Below are 17648 nucleotides of genomic sequence, written 5' to 3'. Positions count from 1 at the left end.
GTTTTTTTTTGACACTGGGTTAAAGTGGAAATTTTTACCTATTTTTAAATGGCTTAAAACACACACACACACACACACACACACACACACACACACACACACACACACCCATTCTTCCACCATAGCCAGCAGTCAGACAGAGAGGAAGGTTTAGAGACTCATGAGCCCAAGGAACTCTCCTGTAACTGGATGGTGCCATAGCTGTGCAGTGACTCTGGGGAGGAGGCTAGGAAAACGGAAAGCAATTGTTCAGGGTGGGGGATGGGGTACAATGCTTTAAGCAACATAAGAAAGCCACAGACCCCATATTCTGCTGATGTGTGAAGACAAAGGCTGGAATAGAGAAATGAGGATTCCACTTCACTACTGGGCACTCACAGCCCAAGGACTCTTTCTGACAAATTTAGACAGAAATGTAGACCTGGAAAAGGCCTTAGAGACCATCTCCAGAGGATAAAAACCCAAATGGCTATAGGGGTCAGCAAGGTTACTACATGTATCTGAACAAAGGGCCACATATAACTAATAGAGAATGATGGAAGCTGTGGCAAACTTTCTAGCCCTGATTTAAGGTCCACCTTAAAAAAAAAAAAAATCCCTACATGAAACAAAAATCTCCCAGGTGGGATCTGACCTGTGGGATGACACTGTGAAACCCCAGATGGTCTAACTCTCTCATTTTACAAGAAGGGAGACCTTATCTTTTTTTTTTTTTTTTTAATGTTTAGCATGAGCTAGACACCACTCTTAGTACTTTAGGTGTATTAACTCATTTAATGTTCACAACAACCCTAGGAGGTATGGATTCCATTCTAGAAACAAGAAAACTGAGTCACAGAGAGGTTATGTAATTTGTCCAAGGCCACATGATGACTGTGCCTGGTAAGCTAAAATTCTAACCCAGGCAGCCTGGCCCTTATCTTCTATGCTTCCCTGTACTCTCCTTGAATCTGTAATTTGGCAAGCTTGGTTTATAGTCTAACATTAGTCAGGTTCACTTTCCTTGGTTTTACCTTTTGCCTCAGGGAAATGAATGTATGCTTTGGTCTTGGAACTTATCACTAGACAACAAATGTTGGAGTCAAGGAATGTTGACCAAGGAAGCCCTAAATAAAAAGCTGCTCTGCTCTGTTAGAGAGAGAAAGAAAACACAGGCTGGTAATTGTAGCTGCCTGCTCATATGCATCACAATCTACTCCTTCAGTGGGGGGTGTACACACTTGGTCTTTTGGGCATAAAACCAAATGCTTTCTGCATTTACCAAAACCAATTCTGACCCTTCATAAAGCATGACCAGTCCCTCTTCCAGAGTTGTGGGAAATTGTTTACTGAGCTGGATAAACTAATTAAGATCCTGGGAATGCTACCCCTCCCAGCTCTCCACCCCTTCTGACTCATCACCTCTACCCTCCTGCTTGGAACATCTCTGGTTTAACTGGGGTAGGCTGAGATCAAGGCCATGCCTACCTGGAAAGGGACTCTAGACACTGGGCCCACTGTTGCTTGCCTGGCAATCAATCTAGCCTACAAATCTATGAAGTCTTACGTCCAGGTCAGGCCAGGCCCACAGCAGAAAAAGTGATCTAGTGGGTACCTAGGCAGGGCTGACCTGGGCCTTACCCCTCCAGTAGTCATCTAGCCCCAACACAGGCCCTAAGGCTGATTCCTCTGAGTGTACATGTGCTCATGTCTGAGCCTGTAGAAGCCTCCCTGTAAATGGGTACCAGACCAATAGTAAGTATATTCTGAGGTTTTCATCACAAGCCTTTGTTTGAAGTGTCTGCGAGAGTTATCTCATCAGCTTGGGAGACTTTGATTACAATTAGCCTCAAAAGGCTTCTGCAGGTTGCCTCTCTGCTTTGTACCCACCCCCAGCCCCTCAGCCAGGAACAGTGTCCCCTTTAGCAGCACTAAGCAGGCAAGGAACCCAGATATAGTGACTCCAACCACCAATGCAGGCTTGAAGATTCTGGTTCAATTTTAGTGAAAAATACAAGTGTTCACATTGAAAAATAGTTAAGATCCCAAAGGGAAGTGACAAGTGCGGAGTATTCTGAAACATTTATGAATGAAAAATGTTCTCCTAAACTCCCCTAGTTAAAAACCCAAGCCTCTCTAAGAGGTTAAACCACAGTCCTAAACCCATCAACACAATGGTCGGAGAACTGAGAAGCAACTTGATGGCTCGCCGCCTAGTGGCAGCGCAGGGTGACACACCAGCTCACTAAAATCTTCCCTTCCTTTGGGCTTTAGATAGAAACCACCTTTTCCTAAAGTTTCCAAATTCTCATTTAAAATAGCCTACTCTCAGCTACAACCAGCAAACCAAAGACATGAAAAGGTCAGATTTTGCTCCCAGTTTAGTGACAGTGCTGCCAGGCATCTCTGGAACAGGGCTCAGGGTCAGTGCAGCAGTCTTTCCAAAGGGCTGTGAGGGCTATATCAAAGATTTTTCGTCATTCCCAAGAAACAGGGTAAATTATGGAGGTGGCGACAGTGTCTATCTTGGCTCCATGTATTATCATCCCAAGTAGACAAAACCAAGTGAAATGGGTTGGCAGAAAATCAATTAGTTTTCTGAGACCTCTCTACCCCTGGCAATTTAATTAAAACTGGAAGTTGCTAACAAGAAGTTAAATCAAACTAGACTCAGAGCAGCAGAAGAAACCCTCACCACCATCACCACCACCATCACCACCAATTTATTTCCTTCCACTGGGCAGCAACTATGTTTCAGCCTGTGGATAGGCAAATGCCTTGAGCTCTCCAGCAGAGGCCCTATGCCTGGAGTCCAGGTGGGAGTGGGTGTGTGGCACCCTTATTGCTGGGCACATCCACGGGTGTCCAGAAGCCATTCCTATTCACTGATTCAGAATAAAAGGACACACTTGTTTATGCAATTAAAATAATTATGCTCCTTGAAGACTCAATTGAGGTTCTGATACAGGTGGCAGCGATCAGTGCTTGGTAACCTCTCCCATCTCTGTAGGAAATGGGGTTTTGTGACTCTCTCATGGTGATTCTACTTGCCCGGCTGATTACATTAGCTGAGCCACTTAAAGAAGGTAAAGTGTGCCACTTTGAGACTGTCCATCTTGAGAAATCAATTCAGGAGAACTACCTAGATACTGGAGCTCTTGGGCCTGTGGGGATCCTTTTGAGACCCACAGAGGAGGAAAAGAGACCAGCAGGCAGCCACTCTAAGCCAGGAAAGATAGGCTACTTCTAGAAGCCAGATCTTGGGAAGAGGCAACTCAAAGAATCCTCTCACACTAGAGTCACTCATCCTTTACAGCTGGGACAAGAAAGGGATAAGAGCAGCAGGCTAACTTGGAGTCATATTTAGACACAGAGCCACAATGAAACGTATCCCCTATACCAAGCATCTGAGGGCAACACCCTCTCTTTGGTGTGGTTGGGCTGAATGTCTTTGGTCTGCCTAAAATGAATGAGGTAGAAGGTAATGAAGGAGATGAAAAAGAAAGCAAATTACAGTTCCTCACACATTGTCTGCTCCTCAGTGACTGCTTACTGCATTGAATTAGGCAGATCAAGGCCACCAGAGGCATTCTGCTTCCTCCAAGAACAAAGGAAAAGATAAGTTGGGGGCTTGAACAAGGTCACCATCATCCACAGTGACTTAAAGGATGGGCCAATTCCATGGGACAACTCAGGCTGGTGAGAGAAGATGAGCAGAACCAGGAGAGACGACTTGGGGGACCAGAGTAGGGGACAGGAATGGGCTGGAAAAAAAACTGACCAGAAAAATGAACATGGATAGTTCTTGGACTCCCCAAGAGCAGCCCTCCAAAGCTGGCTTCCATAGGCTGCATGAAGTAAAATGAGCAAAGATTCACAGGTTGGACAGACCTGAGCTGGCATTTTTAGCTTTGTAACCCTGGGGTAGTCACTTACTCTCTCTGAACTCATTTGTCATTTCTCTTATACGAGTACTATGAGAATCAGCTTCCGTGTATGGAAGTTCAGACTGGAAGACTGTAACTCACCCTACAAAAGTGGGTTAACATTTGTGCAAAAAAGGGCTGCCATTGCAGTCCAAAGGTGCTATTTTCAGAAGGGTCTGTTTGCAGGGTTGGCCCTTGGCTGGCATCCGGGAACCTGGCTCCCAGGCAATAGTAAACTGATGGGGGTAGTCCACTGTGCCTATATTGTGCAAATAATATGATTTATGCTGAACATTTGCTTTCCTTTAGAAAACTTCATTATGTATTAAGCATCGAGTGTCTATGTGACCAGCTCCCAGTAAAAATCTTGGGTGCTGAGTCTCTAATGGGCTTTCCTGGGCAGAAATGTCACAAATAAGTTACTGCATTTTCACTGCTGTAATAAACCTTAGCTGTGAGTATCACTATATGCTAAGTCTAGCAAATCTCTGAATGTGGAGGTGGTCTTGGGGATCTTGATACAGGGTCAACATTATATACCTACACCCAGCATGAGCCCACAGAGATCCTTACCCACTTCAAGAAGGCCTGGCTTCCAGAAGCAAAGTAATTGATAGAAGACGGGACCTGGCCAGCAACCAAATAAAAAGCCCCGACCCCTAGAATGTGGAGCTAATAATACTTATTGAACTTATTGACAAAATAAGGAGAAATAACACTTATTGAAAGCCCACTGGAAGTCAGTCACTGTGCTAGGTACTCACTCTATTCATTTCCTCTTCATCACCATGGTATTATTTATTATCCTCATTTTTTAGATGAAGAAATTTGGCCACAGTGAGACTGAGTAACCAGCCTGAGATCACAAAGCTGGCCAGAGAAGGAAGTGACATTCTGGCCCAAGGCTGGCTGCAGACACTGCAGAGCCCTCTCTCTTCTCAGCACCCATACTGCCTGCCTAGCTGCCACTTCCTCAGCCTGTCAGGCTGCTTGGCTGACCCTAGGCTTCATCTGTCAAGCAAATCATGAACAGTTTTCTGCAGAACTAGAGTAGGAAGAGAAACAGCACATTTTAGACCAAATGATCCTTACTGTGTATATTTTTCAAAGCACCATAACACAATCATTTCATTTGACCCTCATCACAATCATGTGCTAGGCTGCCTGGCAAATGTCCTCCTTTATCGGACAGGGAAAACAAGGCCAGCAATAGCCAGGTGGTTAAGACTAGGGCAGGACTCAAGCCAAGAGTCCTGACTATGTACCTGGCACATAGGAGGAGGTCAGCAAATGCCTGCTGGATGGCTGAATGATAAGTATAAAAGTGGGTTCAACAGCAAACCAGAGGTTCATTTTCTGAATCTTCATCTTTAAAATCATTTATCTTTAGAAATATCTGCATAGACAGTACTGACCAGTCAACAAAGAACTCCAAGTAGCCTTCATTTGGTTTCTCCAGCTTCGGCGTCCCCATTTCTGCTTTCACTCCCACCAAGATGTCTGTGTGACCCTGCAGACACATGCAAGAAGAGTCCTCACTCAGAGTATGCAGCCAGGTACTCCACCACCTCCCTCCTCTTCTGGACATACACCCCTGGGGGACTCTTTTAGGAGCAGTGCTAAGACTTGGAAAGTGGTCTTTGGAGGAGGTGAGCAGTCTTTTCAGATCTGGATAGACCCCCCCTCCCTGAGTTTGGCTCGGATCTTCGATTTCCCCAAGAGCAATTTGCATTCCAAAAGCCAGACAGCGTCAGCAGCTCATTCCTTAGGGCCTACTCATTTCTCCACCTGGGCTTGAACCATGGTCACAGTACTCACCAGCTTGACCCTGGCGGACCCACTAGTGTTGGACACCACATCAGTTTCCACTTCGACACATCGGTAGTCCTCACAGCCACGGCCATCCACACGGAGGTCTTCCTAGGTGTTAACAACCACAGTCCTATAGTCACCCCAGATCAACAATAACTCCTAAACGGACTCACCCATTTTCCCCCTAGAGAAGATATATGCAGAATATCTCTTTTCCTCTTAGTGGATCATCTAAAATTCTGTCCTTGTAGCTAACAACAACATTACTATTTTACATATGAGGAAATGGAGACTCAGAGAAGTTGAGCGACTTGTCCAAGGTCCTACAGCTAGTGAAAACAAAGCTAGTTTTCCATGCCAGTTGTGTCTGATTGCAAAATCTATACTACATACCACTATATAGAATATGCACACAAAAACAAGATCTGAACAAGAGACAAAATAAGCCACCTCTCTCTAAATCTGCAATTCTTAAATTGCACCAAGAAGTATATGTTGTCAGAGCTACAGAGTACAATCATCTCAACTGAAGCCCTCCTACCCCTAAAACTCAACAAGATCTACTGTGTAAATAGTGAAAGACACCTAATCTTCTAAAGAGGCAGTCTCTAGAACAGGGTCAACAAACTAAGGTCCCTTGTTTTTGTAAATAAGTTTTACTGGAACATAGCCATGCCCACTTGTTTAGGTAATGTCTATGATTGTTTCTGCACTACAAAAGCAGAGCTGAGTGGTTGGGCCAGAGATATGACCCATAAGGCCCCAAATCTTTACTATCCAGTCCTTTACAGGAAGTTTGCTGACTCTTTTGGCAGAAGATGGTTTTCAGGGTGGTCTACGCGCTGCCTGTTCCTTCTGCCCATTTATTTACTCCTTCAATTACTTGTATCAGTACAACTCATTGGTATCTTTTATGCTATGGTTATAATCCACTACTATCATTAGTTATTTTGCTGCTCAAAGTGTTCCAAATTTGGCCACTGGGGGCTTCTTTGGGTTAGTTTTTGTGCTCTTTCAACATGCCTCCAACTTTTTGAGTAATTATCTACTTTCTGCAACACAAGATATCTATCCTCTTGTGTCTTCTCTGCCCAGCCCTAGGGATCAAGCCTTTCTCCAAGGAGCCCTGGTTGCTTTTATTGGGGAATGGTACTTAAAACCAGGAACTAGGCTCTAAGTTCATTGCTGTTGGAGTATTATTTCTTCCAGAACTTCTCAGCAGACAGAGCTAGAAAATACAGTTATGTATACTAACCACCCCCACCACACACACACAAATCTGTTTAATTCTGTATCTATCTACATATCTATTAAAAAGCCAAGAGTTCATACTGATAGATCAATTCCAATCTAACATCACATGGTTCATTCTAACCTTCCTCTGTTTCTTATTTGTAACTTCTTTCTCAAAGAAGGAGAAAGCTGGCTCTTATTATCTAACATGTATTTCTGTATTTGTTCAATCTTAGTATACACAGTTTCTGAACTTCTAACCCATACCCCTGTGAGAAACAAATTTACTAATAGCACACAGTATTTGTGTAAAGTTCTGTCTTTAGCCTCAGAGTATCCAGGCAAAATACTGTTTTCCAGTTACTTCAGTTCTTTTCTTCTACGTGCCCTTCAGTGTGGTTACATTACTCACTTGTAACACAGGCTCATTTGTAACTTGTAACTTTTTTTTTAGACTATGGCTCTGTCGCCCAGGCTGGAGTGCAGTGTGGCACAGCTCACTGCAACCTCCGCCACCTGCGTTCAAGCGCTTCTCCCGCCTCAGCCTCTGAAGTAGCTGGAATTACAGGCACATCACCATGCCTGGCTAATTTTCATTTGTAAATTTTTGTTTTCCATTTTGGGTTCCCCCACATCATGGTTACTTTTAATTACTTATTTACTTTCTGAGTTTGTGAGCTATCACTATAGTTCTGAGAGAAAACTCAGAAAAGTATGCTCAGAGAAATGTCACTCTCCTCCGTATTATGCTATTTTCATGCCCCTTTCTTCCCATTCACCCTAGGTTTCTCTTCAGTTTCAGGTTTATCTTTCTTGTATTTTCTCTGCACAAATAAGCAAATACATGAATTTTTTAATATCTCCTTGTTTCTTATATGAAGGGTGGAATACTATAGATACTCTTACTTTTTTTTTTTTTTTTAACACTTAACTATATATATGCAGGAAATCATTCCACGTTGGCTCATGGAGCTCCTTCTCATTCTTTGTAAACATTTTTCAAAAGCAGTTTTTTTCAGAAAAAGAATCATTAGCTTAATCAGATTCTCCAAGGAGTTGATGCTTCCCAGAAACATAAAAAATAAAATAAAACACTGCTCTAAAGTATGTGACTGACAGTTTATCTTTAAACTGCCTGGCTAACTGCATATGTGACTGACTTTTTTGAGAAATTAAACAGAAAAAAGCAAAACACTGCAGCACCACACAGTACCAATGATCACCCTCTGCCATACTTGCTTCAGGTCTTTCACCCGTTTAACTTTTCAATGACAGAAAATAAACATCACAAATCAGGTGGAAGGTCCTGTGCAGCCCATCCTTCCCCCAGCACCTTTCCTCCCTGGAAGATATTGAGAGGTGACAGCGTGCTGGCAGCCCTCACAGCCCTCGCTTGCTCTCGGCACCTCCTCTGCCTGGGCTCCCACTTTGGCAGCACTTGAGGAGCCCTTCAGCCCGCCGCTGCACTGCGGGAGCCCCTTTCTGGGCTGGCCAAGGTGGGAGCCGGCTCCCTCAGCTTGCTGGGAGGTGTGGAGGGAGAGGCGTGGGTGGGAACCAGGGCTGCGGGCAGTGCTTGCGGGCCAGCGCGAGTTCTGGGTGGGCATGGGCTCAGCGGGTGGGTGTGGGCTAGGCGGGCCCCATACTCTGGAGCAGCCAGCTGGCCCCAGGCAGTGAGGGGCTTAGCACCTGGGCCAGCAGCTGCTGTGCTCAATTTCTTGCTGGGCCTTAGCTGCCTTCCCACGGGGCAGGGCTCCGGATCTGCAGCCTGCCATGCGGGAGCCTCCCCGCCCTCCCACCCCCACCCATGGGTGCTCCTGTGTGGCCCCAACCTCCCCAAGGAGCGCTGCCCCCTGCTCCACGGCGCCCAGTCCCATCGACCACCCAAGGGCTGAGGAATGCGGGTGCATGGCAGGGGACTGGCAGGCAGCTCCACCTGCGGCCCCAGTGCAGGATCCACTGGTTGAAGCCAGCCGGGCTCCTGAGTCTGATGGGGACTTGGAGAACCTCTATGTCTAGCTAAGAGATTGTAAATACACCAATCAGCACTCTGTATCTAGCTACTCTGGTGGGGACTTGGAGAACCTTTGTGTCTACACTCTGTATCTAGCTAATCTACTGGGGAGGTGGAGAACCTTTGTGTCTAGCTCAGGGATTGTAAACGCACCAATCAGCACCCTGTCTAACAGACCACTCGGCTCTCTGTAAAATGGACCAATCAGCAGAATGTGGGTGGGGCCAGATAAGAGAATAAAAGCAAGCTGCCAGAGCCAGCAGTGGCAACCCGCTTGGGTCCCCTTCCACACTGTGGAAGCTTTGTTCTTTCGCTCTTTGCAATAAATCTTGCTACTGCTCACTCTTTGGGTCCACACTGCCTTTATGAGCTGTAACACTCACCGCGAAGGTCTGCAGCTTCACTCCTGAAGCCAGCGAGACCACGAACCCACCTCGGGAGGAATGAACAACTCCAGGTGTGCCGCCTTAAGAGCTGTAACACTCACCATGAAGGTCTGCAGCTTCACTCCTGAGCCAGCGAGACCACGAACCCACCAGAAGGAAGAAACTCCGAGCACATCTGAACATCAGAAGGAACAACTCCGGACACGCCGCCTTTAAGAACTGTAACACTCACCGCGAGGGTCTGCAGCTTCATTCTTGAAATCAGTGAGACCAAGAACCCACCAATTCCAGACACAATATCCCTATCTTGAGTCTGGAGATGGATTCAAAAAGCAACAGAATTTCAAGTCTAAGAGAGTAAGCCTTTAGGATAGAACTCCAGAAGGTGATCCCTCTTCACTGGAAGACCCATAACTATGTAACTGTGTCTCTTCCCAACCTCACCCATAGAACCTGAAGGCTTTCTAGCTCAATCTCTAACACTCCAGCCCTCTCCACCTCCATGTGCCCCACTCCCCAGCTAGGAAAGTGAATACCCAGCCCAGAAAGGTTATTGACAAGAAGTTCTTTGTGGGGTGTAAATATGGTGTAAGTATGAACAATCATTAGGAACATGACTCATGGTTCCAGGCCAGCTCCTGGCACTAACTAGCCACTTGACTTAGGACAAGCCCCTTCCCTCTCTGGATTAGTTTCCTCATTTGTAAAAGATGGAGATTAAATTAGTCTCAAAGTGATTCTCTAATTCTACAGATCTATAAATTAAAATGGCTGTAATTATTTGCAATAAATAATAGCAGCTGCTATTTACTGTGCATTTACTATATACCAGATAATGTGCAAGGAATACTGCAGTTAATGCATTTAATCTTTTCAATAATCCTATACGATAGTGTTATTCATTCCATTTTACAAATGAGAAAACTGAGGTTAAAAGATGTCAAATGAATGGCCCAAGTTCAGACAGCCAGTAAGTAGCACTTAAGCCTCAAGTCAGAGCTCTTAACCGCTATGCTACACAGTCCACTGCATTCTAAAGGATGTCTTCACTTTACAAAAGGACTCAGCAGAGACCTCCTTCACAGGATGAACTGGCTGGCCACAAGGTCACAGGGTTTACTACTGCTGCTTCTTCCTTTTTTTTTTTTTTTGAGACAGGATCTCACTCTGTCACCCAGGCTGTAGTGCAGTGGTGATCACTGCAGCCTCAAACTCCTAGGCTCAAGCAATCCTTCTACCTCAGCCTCCTGAGTAGCTAGGACTACAGGCACATGTCAACATGCCCAGCTAATTTTTATTTTTTACTTTTTGTAGAGATGGGGTCTTGCTATGTTGCCCAAGTTGGTCTCAAACTCCTGGCCTCAAGTGACCCTCCTGCCTTAGCCTCCCAAAGTGCTGGGATTACAGGCATGCGCCACCACATCTGGTCCAACTACTGCTTCTAAAATATCACTTGCTCTGAAAGATTAGTCACACCTCTTTGTAGTGAAAATGTACTTGGTCCAGGAAGGGGCTGGTGGGCTGTCAGAAAACTGAGCCTCATCAGATACTGCTTTTCCAGCCTTTAATTCACTCTCTGCCTCCTGGAGAAAGGCTCAGGTGATAAGTAAAAGATAAATGAAAAGCTACAAATTTTCCTTTCCAAGCATGCATAATTTTTTTCCATATAAAAAAAGGATAGGAGGAAAACAAACCAAAAAAACCAACCTAACCAGTCCATGAATCACTGTACCCAGGGCAACTTTTTTTTTTAAACCCAGTTTTCCTTATAAAAGGCTTAGGAAATTGTCCAAACCTGCCTGGCCTAGCTCAGGGCCTGGTGCCCTACCACAGTTTTTATTTATCTGCAGCAGTCACGAGCAAAGGAATTAATCCATGTGTGAACACTTAAATAGGAGTTACCCTGAAGTAAAAGCTCCATTTTAAAACTCAAGAGATGTCAACAGCATGGAGTGGTGTCCCCTCCTTCTCAGCAGAGGAGACTGATGTGCCTCTAGATCAAGGGCTTCTGGATGCCAGGAAAGCTCTTGGTGACTTTCACAGCTGTTACCCATGTGATCACAACAACCCTACCAGTAGGGTGTGGTGTGGTGGAAACAGCCACCTTCCAAATTATACTTAAATCTCTGTTGTCACATGCCAGTTTTGTGACCTTGACCTAAATAGCTCTAAGCCTGTTTCTTCATCTAGAAAGCAGGGATAACCCCGACCTTACAGAGTTACAAGAGAACAGAAACGTCATAAAGCATTTAAAGGAGTCCTTCAGTGTAACACATAGGAGTCCCCCCAAAGCAGTTCCCTTCCCCTGCTTCTGGGGGCATGCATTAACTCACTGCATCCTCAAAAACAACCCTGAGAGAGGTTACAGATAAGAATGGAGGCACCTAAGTTTCAATCTCCTGTTTGTGACAGAGTGGAAGGACATTTAAGCACAGACCTACTTTCCCTCACACCCAGGAAGCCCAGTCCTATTACTTCTTAATAGAAACTGACAAGTTGGCGCTACCAATCTGACACATCTGGAAGGACTTTAGACTCAAAGTGGTCCTCTGAGGTTATGTTAACCCCTCATTAACTTGCTTTGACTTGTCTAATACTCCAGATTCCTAAAGGAGAAGTGAGACTAAATTCCTTCCCCTACTAGAAGGTGACTGCCCCCCGCCCTTAGGAAAGGGGCCACATTTGGTCCAGCTTTGCAGGCTCGGGCCCATCACACAGCAGGCAAAAGTAGGTGTTGATCCTTGTTTGACTTTCCAACCCTGTTGAGTAGCCAGGCATTCCTCTGAAAGGATATGGCTCCATAACTCTGCATCCTGCAGTGTCTGGGCATAAGGCTTTCTGTGCCATGGGTCTGTAAACAGAAAGGGCAGAGAGCTAAAAATCAAGAGTCCTGAGGGCTGGCTCCAATTCTGTCATGGCCAGACTGAGCAACCGAATACTGACTGCTCAATCTCATAGTTGAAAACCAGGCTGAGGCCCTGATCTCCCTCTTCCATGCTATACCCCTAAACAATGCTTATGATGAAAGCAAGATCCACAGAAAAGAAATGGAAGCCATCAGCTGGGCTACAACTCCCTTCAACAGCCAAGAACATACAATAAAATGGCTTTCACAGGGTTCCAAGAGCCCTGTGGTAGGGTTCGTCAATTGCCATGGCCAGGTCTGAACCTATGAGGGCCAGTTTAATGTCCAGGTCATAGCCATAGCACTCAGTAGGCTGAACCTGGGAAAGCTTTATTGTGCCTAAAGCCCTGTAAAGGCCACATAACAGTCACCATCCATCCCCAACAGCCAGGACCAGGGGTAGGTGCCTGAACCAAAGGCATATAATCCAAAGGGTGACCAACTCTTTTTGGCGTGAAATACTACCAGACCAAACTGATTCTCTCATTGCAATCTGGTCTCTGATCTGAGAAACACTTGAGAGAAGAAAGGAGTTAAAGAGGAGCTGACAGGTCATGATATGGAGGAGCCCAGAGAGGCCACACGAAAGTAAAGGTATTGGGCAGAGGCAGATTCTACAAAGAAGGGAAGCTGGACAGCAAGTGGCTGCAGAGAAGGGATAAATCTTGGCAGAGAAAAGCAGAGATGTCACTAGAGATAAAGACAGACAGCCACACAGGCCATGAGATAATCCACGGAGCCCATGAGAGGCGGTACCTCAGAGCTGTCTGGGGACTTTCCAGCTCTTGCCACAGATCCCCCTTCTCTTTTTTCTTTTTCTTTCTTTTAAGAGACAGAGTATCTCTCTGTCACCCAGGCTGGAGTGAAATCTCCAACTCCTGGGCTCAAGCGATCCTCTGGCCTCAGCCTCCCAAGCAGCTAGGCCTACAGGCACACACCACCACACACCTAATTTTTTTTAGAGATAGGGTGTTGCTATGTTGCCCAGACTGGATGCCAACTCCTGGCCTCTGGTGATCCTCCCACCTCAGCCTCCCAAAGGGCTGGGATTACAGGTGTGAGCCACTGCACCTGGCCTATCCCTTTTCTTGAGATAATTGAAAAATCCCGATTCCTTCAAATCAAAAGAGGTTTAATTCTCAGGAGCCACAGGCTGAATCTTTAATGAGGTCACTATGAAGGCTGGGGATCTAGTGTGGATGGTTTAAGACAAAGTCACACTTCTGATGGAAAAACAAACTTGAAAGGGAGCCAGCATTTTTTCTGTGTTAACCACAGCCCAAGTGCTTGACATCTCTTATCTCATCATTCCTCATAACCCCATTCTACTTCCAGGTGCATAAGTCCCCATTTTACACAAGGGAAGCAGGTTCAGTTATGCAAGTAAAACCACTTATTGTAAATGGTGAAGGTGCCTGCTCAGTCTGACTCCAAAGCCTCATTCAAAAAGAGGCAGGAAACCATATGACTTCAGCAGGAGAGAGCAGAGATTTCTTTATCTCTGGTCAGTGGCTTACCCATGGGCCAATGTCTGGTGGCTGCCCCCAAATTTCCCAACACTTTATGATAATGTCCATTCTCAGGCCCCAGCCCCAGAGAGTCTGATTCAGAATGTTGGGGTAAAGCCTCAGAATCTGTATTTTGTAGGTGAGTAAAATGCACTTCAAGGCTTCAGAATCCCTGGGCTAAGAGGGAGGTTAGCAATGGCTTCTCATGGATGAGGAAAACACACATCTAGCCCAGTAAGCCAGAAAAGAGGATAAATCCTAGATTCTAAAAATTCTGAAGTCTGCTCCAAGTTCTGCATGGTATGGGCAGAGTAAATCGTTTATGATACTAGTAAGACAAAAGCTATACAAAGAAATGCAATATAGGGTTCTAAAGGAACTTATACTCAATGTGGGAAAAATGCAACCAAAACAATACAGCAGTATATGCCATATACTATTTAAGCTCTAGAAAAACTGGGGAGTGGGAGGTGTCAATTAGAACTTTCTCTTTCCCTTCCAGTTTCCCCACAAGCTTTTAGAGAAAGGGGGAAAGAAAAGGAGGTAGAGGAAGCAAAGATTCTCTCCTGCCTTGATCTCTGGATCCCTACTGAGGAAATGGAAGAAATGACTTTCACTGCAGCAGGAAGGTGGCCTCAGAGTCAAGTATGGGCTTTGCAATCAGACAGGTCTGGATTTAAATCCCAGTGCCACCACTCAATTACTGTGTCACCTTGACAAGCGACTCAACCTGCCCGAGCTCAGTTCCTCATCTATAGAGATAACATTTACCTTCAGAACTGTTGTAAATATTCAATGAAATAAAAATTATAATATGTACCTAATAAGAATGGGATATAGCCTTCAAAGACTGAAAGAGAACCTAACAGAAACCAATCAAATTATTTATCAAAATACCGATTTAATCCACCTTTTTGATTCTCTGTTCTCCCCTGGGAGAGGGGATCTGTTCACCAGGTTGACTCAAATTGTATCACCTAGACTCCCTTTGCTGGCTTCTGGTTGGGTTTGTCCAGTGGAAGATACCAGATCAGAGGGTGCCCCTCACCCCCAATCTAGTGGCCACATTTCTGATAGTGCCTGCATCTATCGAAGACTATGACTTATGTTGGGCAGCCCTTCCTCCACAGTTCCAGCTATCACTGAAATGTGGTAATACTGTTTCCTCCCCTGGCCCCTTTGGAATAGGGGCAGTAGCCACTCCCAGTAGTTGTCTTGGGGCTCCTCAACATCTCTTATTGGTTCCCTGAAACCCCCCCCATACTGCTCTAGAGTCCCATCATAAAAGTCTCCTGAACTACCTGAAGAGGGTTCCATTTTCTGCCAATAACTAAAATGATCCACCCTCCCTTCTCACAAACTGACTTCTCCCAAGTGTGACACATCCTCTAGTGGCCATGTTTGAGCCTAATTATTCTGTCCATCCTTTCCCTCAACCCCCTAAAAGAACTAGAGTTTCTTTCTCTTGGAAACATGAGTTCAGAACTGAACGAGAAGGAATGGTCTCTTTTACAGAGGAACTGGGAAGGAACCACATTTTTTCTACCACTGGCCCAAGAAATAGAAAACCAATCTGTAGGGAGACAAAAACAAAGCAAAGAGGGGGAAAAAAAAAACCAGCAGAGATTAGGATTCCTGGAGAAACACTTGCAGCCTTGTAATCCATACTGTTTTGCTTGAGCCGATGTGTTGGTTACCATTACTAGCAACTGAATCCTCAACACATCGTGAGGTTAATTTCAACTGCTTCTAACTATCACCAAAACAAGATGAAATATTCCCTGAAATAGTAAAAGAACCAAAGGCTGAAGGGAAAGTGACATCAGAAGCTGAAATGGACGTTACTGGACCAAAGGTGAAAAGTAAAACACAAAATGACTAGGACTATACAAGCAACAGGAGTTCAGGCAGGCACTGCTTAAGGTGCACTGCCGGCACTCTATAACCAACGCAACAAAAGTTTAGGAGATTTCAGAACTGAATCAGTTGAGATTCCATGGTAGGCTCATTCACCTGCATCCTGACCTTTATTTGGATGGTGTAAATTGTGTTTTGCTCCTCTATACATATGGCATATTTTGGGCCAACATTAATAAGCCCTTATGAAGACGTTGATTTGAAGCCCATTACTCTGCATGGCTCTGTGATACACAGAGCTGAGCATTTACCAACAACTGTGCCCAAATATGTCCATGGTACTGGTGAGAGGGAGGTTTAATTTAAAAAATAAAAACACCATCCAACTCATTCCCCCTTTAAAGCTTACATCACCCATTCAATGCTACTAAGAACCTACCAAGTGCTAGACACTGGCTATGCCTTAAGGGTCCCCCATACAGACAAGTCAACAGGCTATTGCCTTCCAAGATCCATGATGAGCGAATGACTGAACCTCTAAGACCTCTAGGATCGTGCTTCTGGCCACCTCTGCAAGCTGATCTTCCACCATTTCCCCCAGCCCACCCCTTGGGCTCCACATGTCCTCCACCTGAGGATTTACAGACTCACCACCCCTTCCTTCTGGAACACTGGTGCCTACTTAATTCTCAGTCATGCTGAGAACTCAGTTCAAATGCTATTTCCTTAGGGAAGCCTCCTCTGACCTCCCAGTCTAGATCGTGTCCGTTTTTTCCTTCATAGCATTCAGTACAATTTTATATATAAACACTCAAGTACATTTATAGTTTCTGCATCTTCCTTCTAGCATGAGAGCTATATAAGGACAGGTTCCTTCCTAGCCCCTGAGTCTAGCTCAGTTCTGTGTTGAATGAATGAATACTGAGTCCTGAAGATACAGAGGAGGAATCCTTGACATGGATTTAGGGGAGCAATTCCACCTCCTTAGGGAAGCCTTCAGAGCATTACAAGTCCCTGGAATTCTTTTTATTTATTAAAAAAAAATTATTTCTTTAGAGATGGGCTCTCACTGTGTTGCCCAAGCTGGTCTCAAACTCCTAGGCTCAAGCAATCCTCCCATCTCAGCCTTTCAAAGTGCTGGGATTACAGGCGTGAGCCACAATGCCCGGCCCCTGGTATACTTTAACTTCAACCTCCACTAACTATACCACTTCCTTGGCATAGATCTTACATTACCTTTGTTTTTATTTTATTCACTTTTACTCTCTGTTTGTCTCCCTCCTATCTTTCATTTATTTCACAACCATGTTTTGGCATCCCTGCTGTTTCCCACATAACATGCCAGGAGCTAGATATATGTTGGTAAATAAAATTAACTAATGACCATGGTGGGACTCTGCTGCTGGATAGCTAATGAACTGCCGTGGGAATTAAGGGTGCTGGGGAGAAAGCTCTAACCTTGAGGTTACAGATATATCCATGCCTCAGTGCCACTTTCAGGGATGAAATGTTGAGAGAAAATAGGACACATGACAGAGTCACTACATCATGGTAAGCTCCGGTAACAAAGAAGACCAAAGGTTTTTAAATTTAGAGGAAAACGGTTATCCGTAATGTGTCCCTAAAAAAATACTTTGAGGATAAAAATCACCTGAACAAAGTGTATACAAAAATATAGCAGGGAAAGACATATCTAACTGCTTTTGGGCATTTTTATGCCCCCTCACACACAAATAACATACATGTTACCCTGTAATACACACATATGTCCCACTGTTGTTAATCCTGAATTATAACTAAAATATGCAACTGTGAGTTCTGACTTTATTATCCAGGCATAATATGCTAAATATTGGCATTTCTTCATATATAAAGGGCCCAGAAGATAACGGCAGGTCACGATTTTTAAATGGACATGTCCTTAACTCACGTTGTGGGACTTCAATGATAGCTGGCCGCTTCAATCCGATGGCTACATCACGGGACCACTGACTTTGCAGTTGGTACTGACAGAGGAAAGGCATGAGGAAA

At 44.9% G+C, this 17648-nt stretch overlaps 1 protein-coding gene across 5 annotated transcripts in view; it reads right to left on the bottom strand.

The window, feature by feature from the left end:
- EXOSC7 (exosome component 7) overlaps positions 1–17648 on the bottom strand; it is a 36425-nt gene that overhangs the window by 17704 nt on the left and 1073 nt on the right. For 2 of the 5 annotated variants that reach the window (XM_047447748.1, NM_015004.4), the window contains exons 2-3: positions 5724–5825; positions 5321–5415 (exon numbers count right to left, since the gene is read on the bottom strand). The exons of the other annotated variants lie outside the window; for them this stretch is intronic. In XM_047447748.1, the coding sequence (XP_047303704.1) occupies positions 5321–5415; positions 5724–5825 (197 nt within the window). The remainder of the gene's footprint in view (positions 1–5320; positions 5416–5723; positions 5826–17648) is intronic. 5 annotated transcript variants of the gene reach the window in all.

This window comes from Homo sapiens, chromosome 3, assembly GCF_000001405.40.
Source record: "Homo sapiens chromosome 3, GRCh38.p14 Primary Assembly".
NCBI lineage: Eukaryota > Metazoa > Chordata > Mammalia > Primates > Hominidae > Homo > Homo sapiens.
The sequence above is the reverse complement of the archived record's forward strand: the minus strand, read 5'-3'. Positions and strand labels throughout refer to the sequence as shown.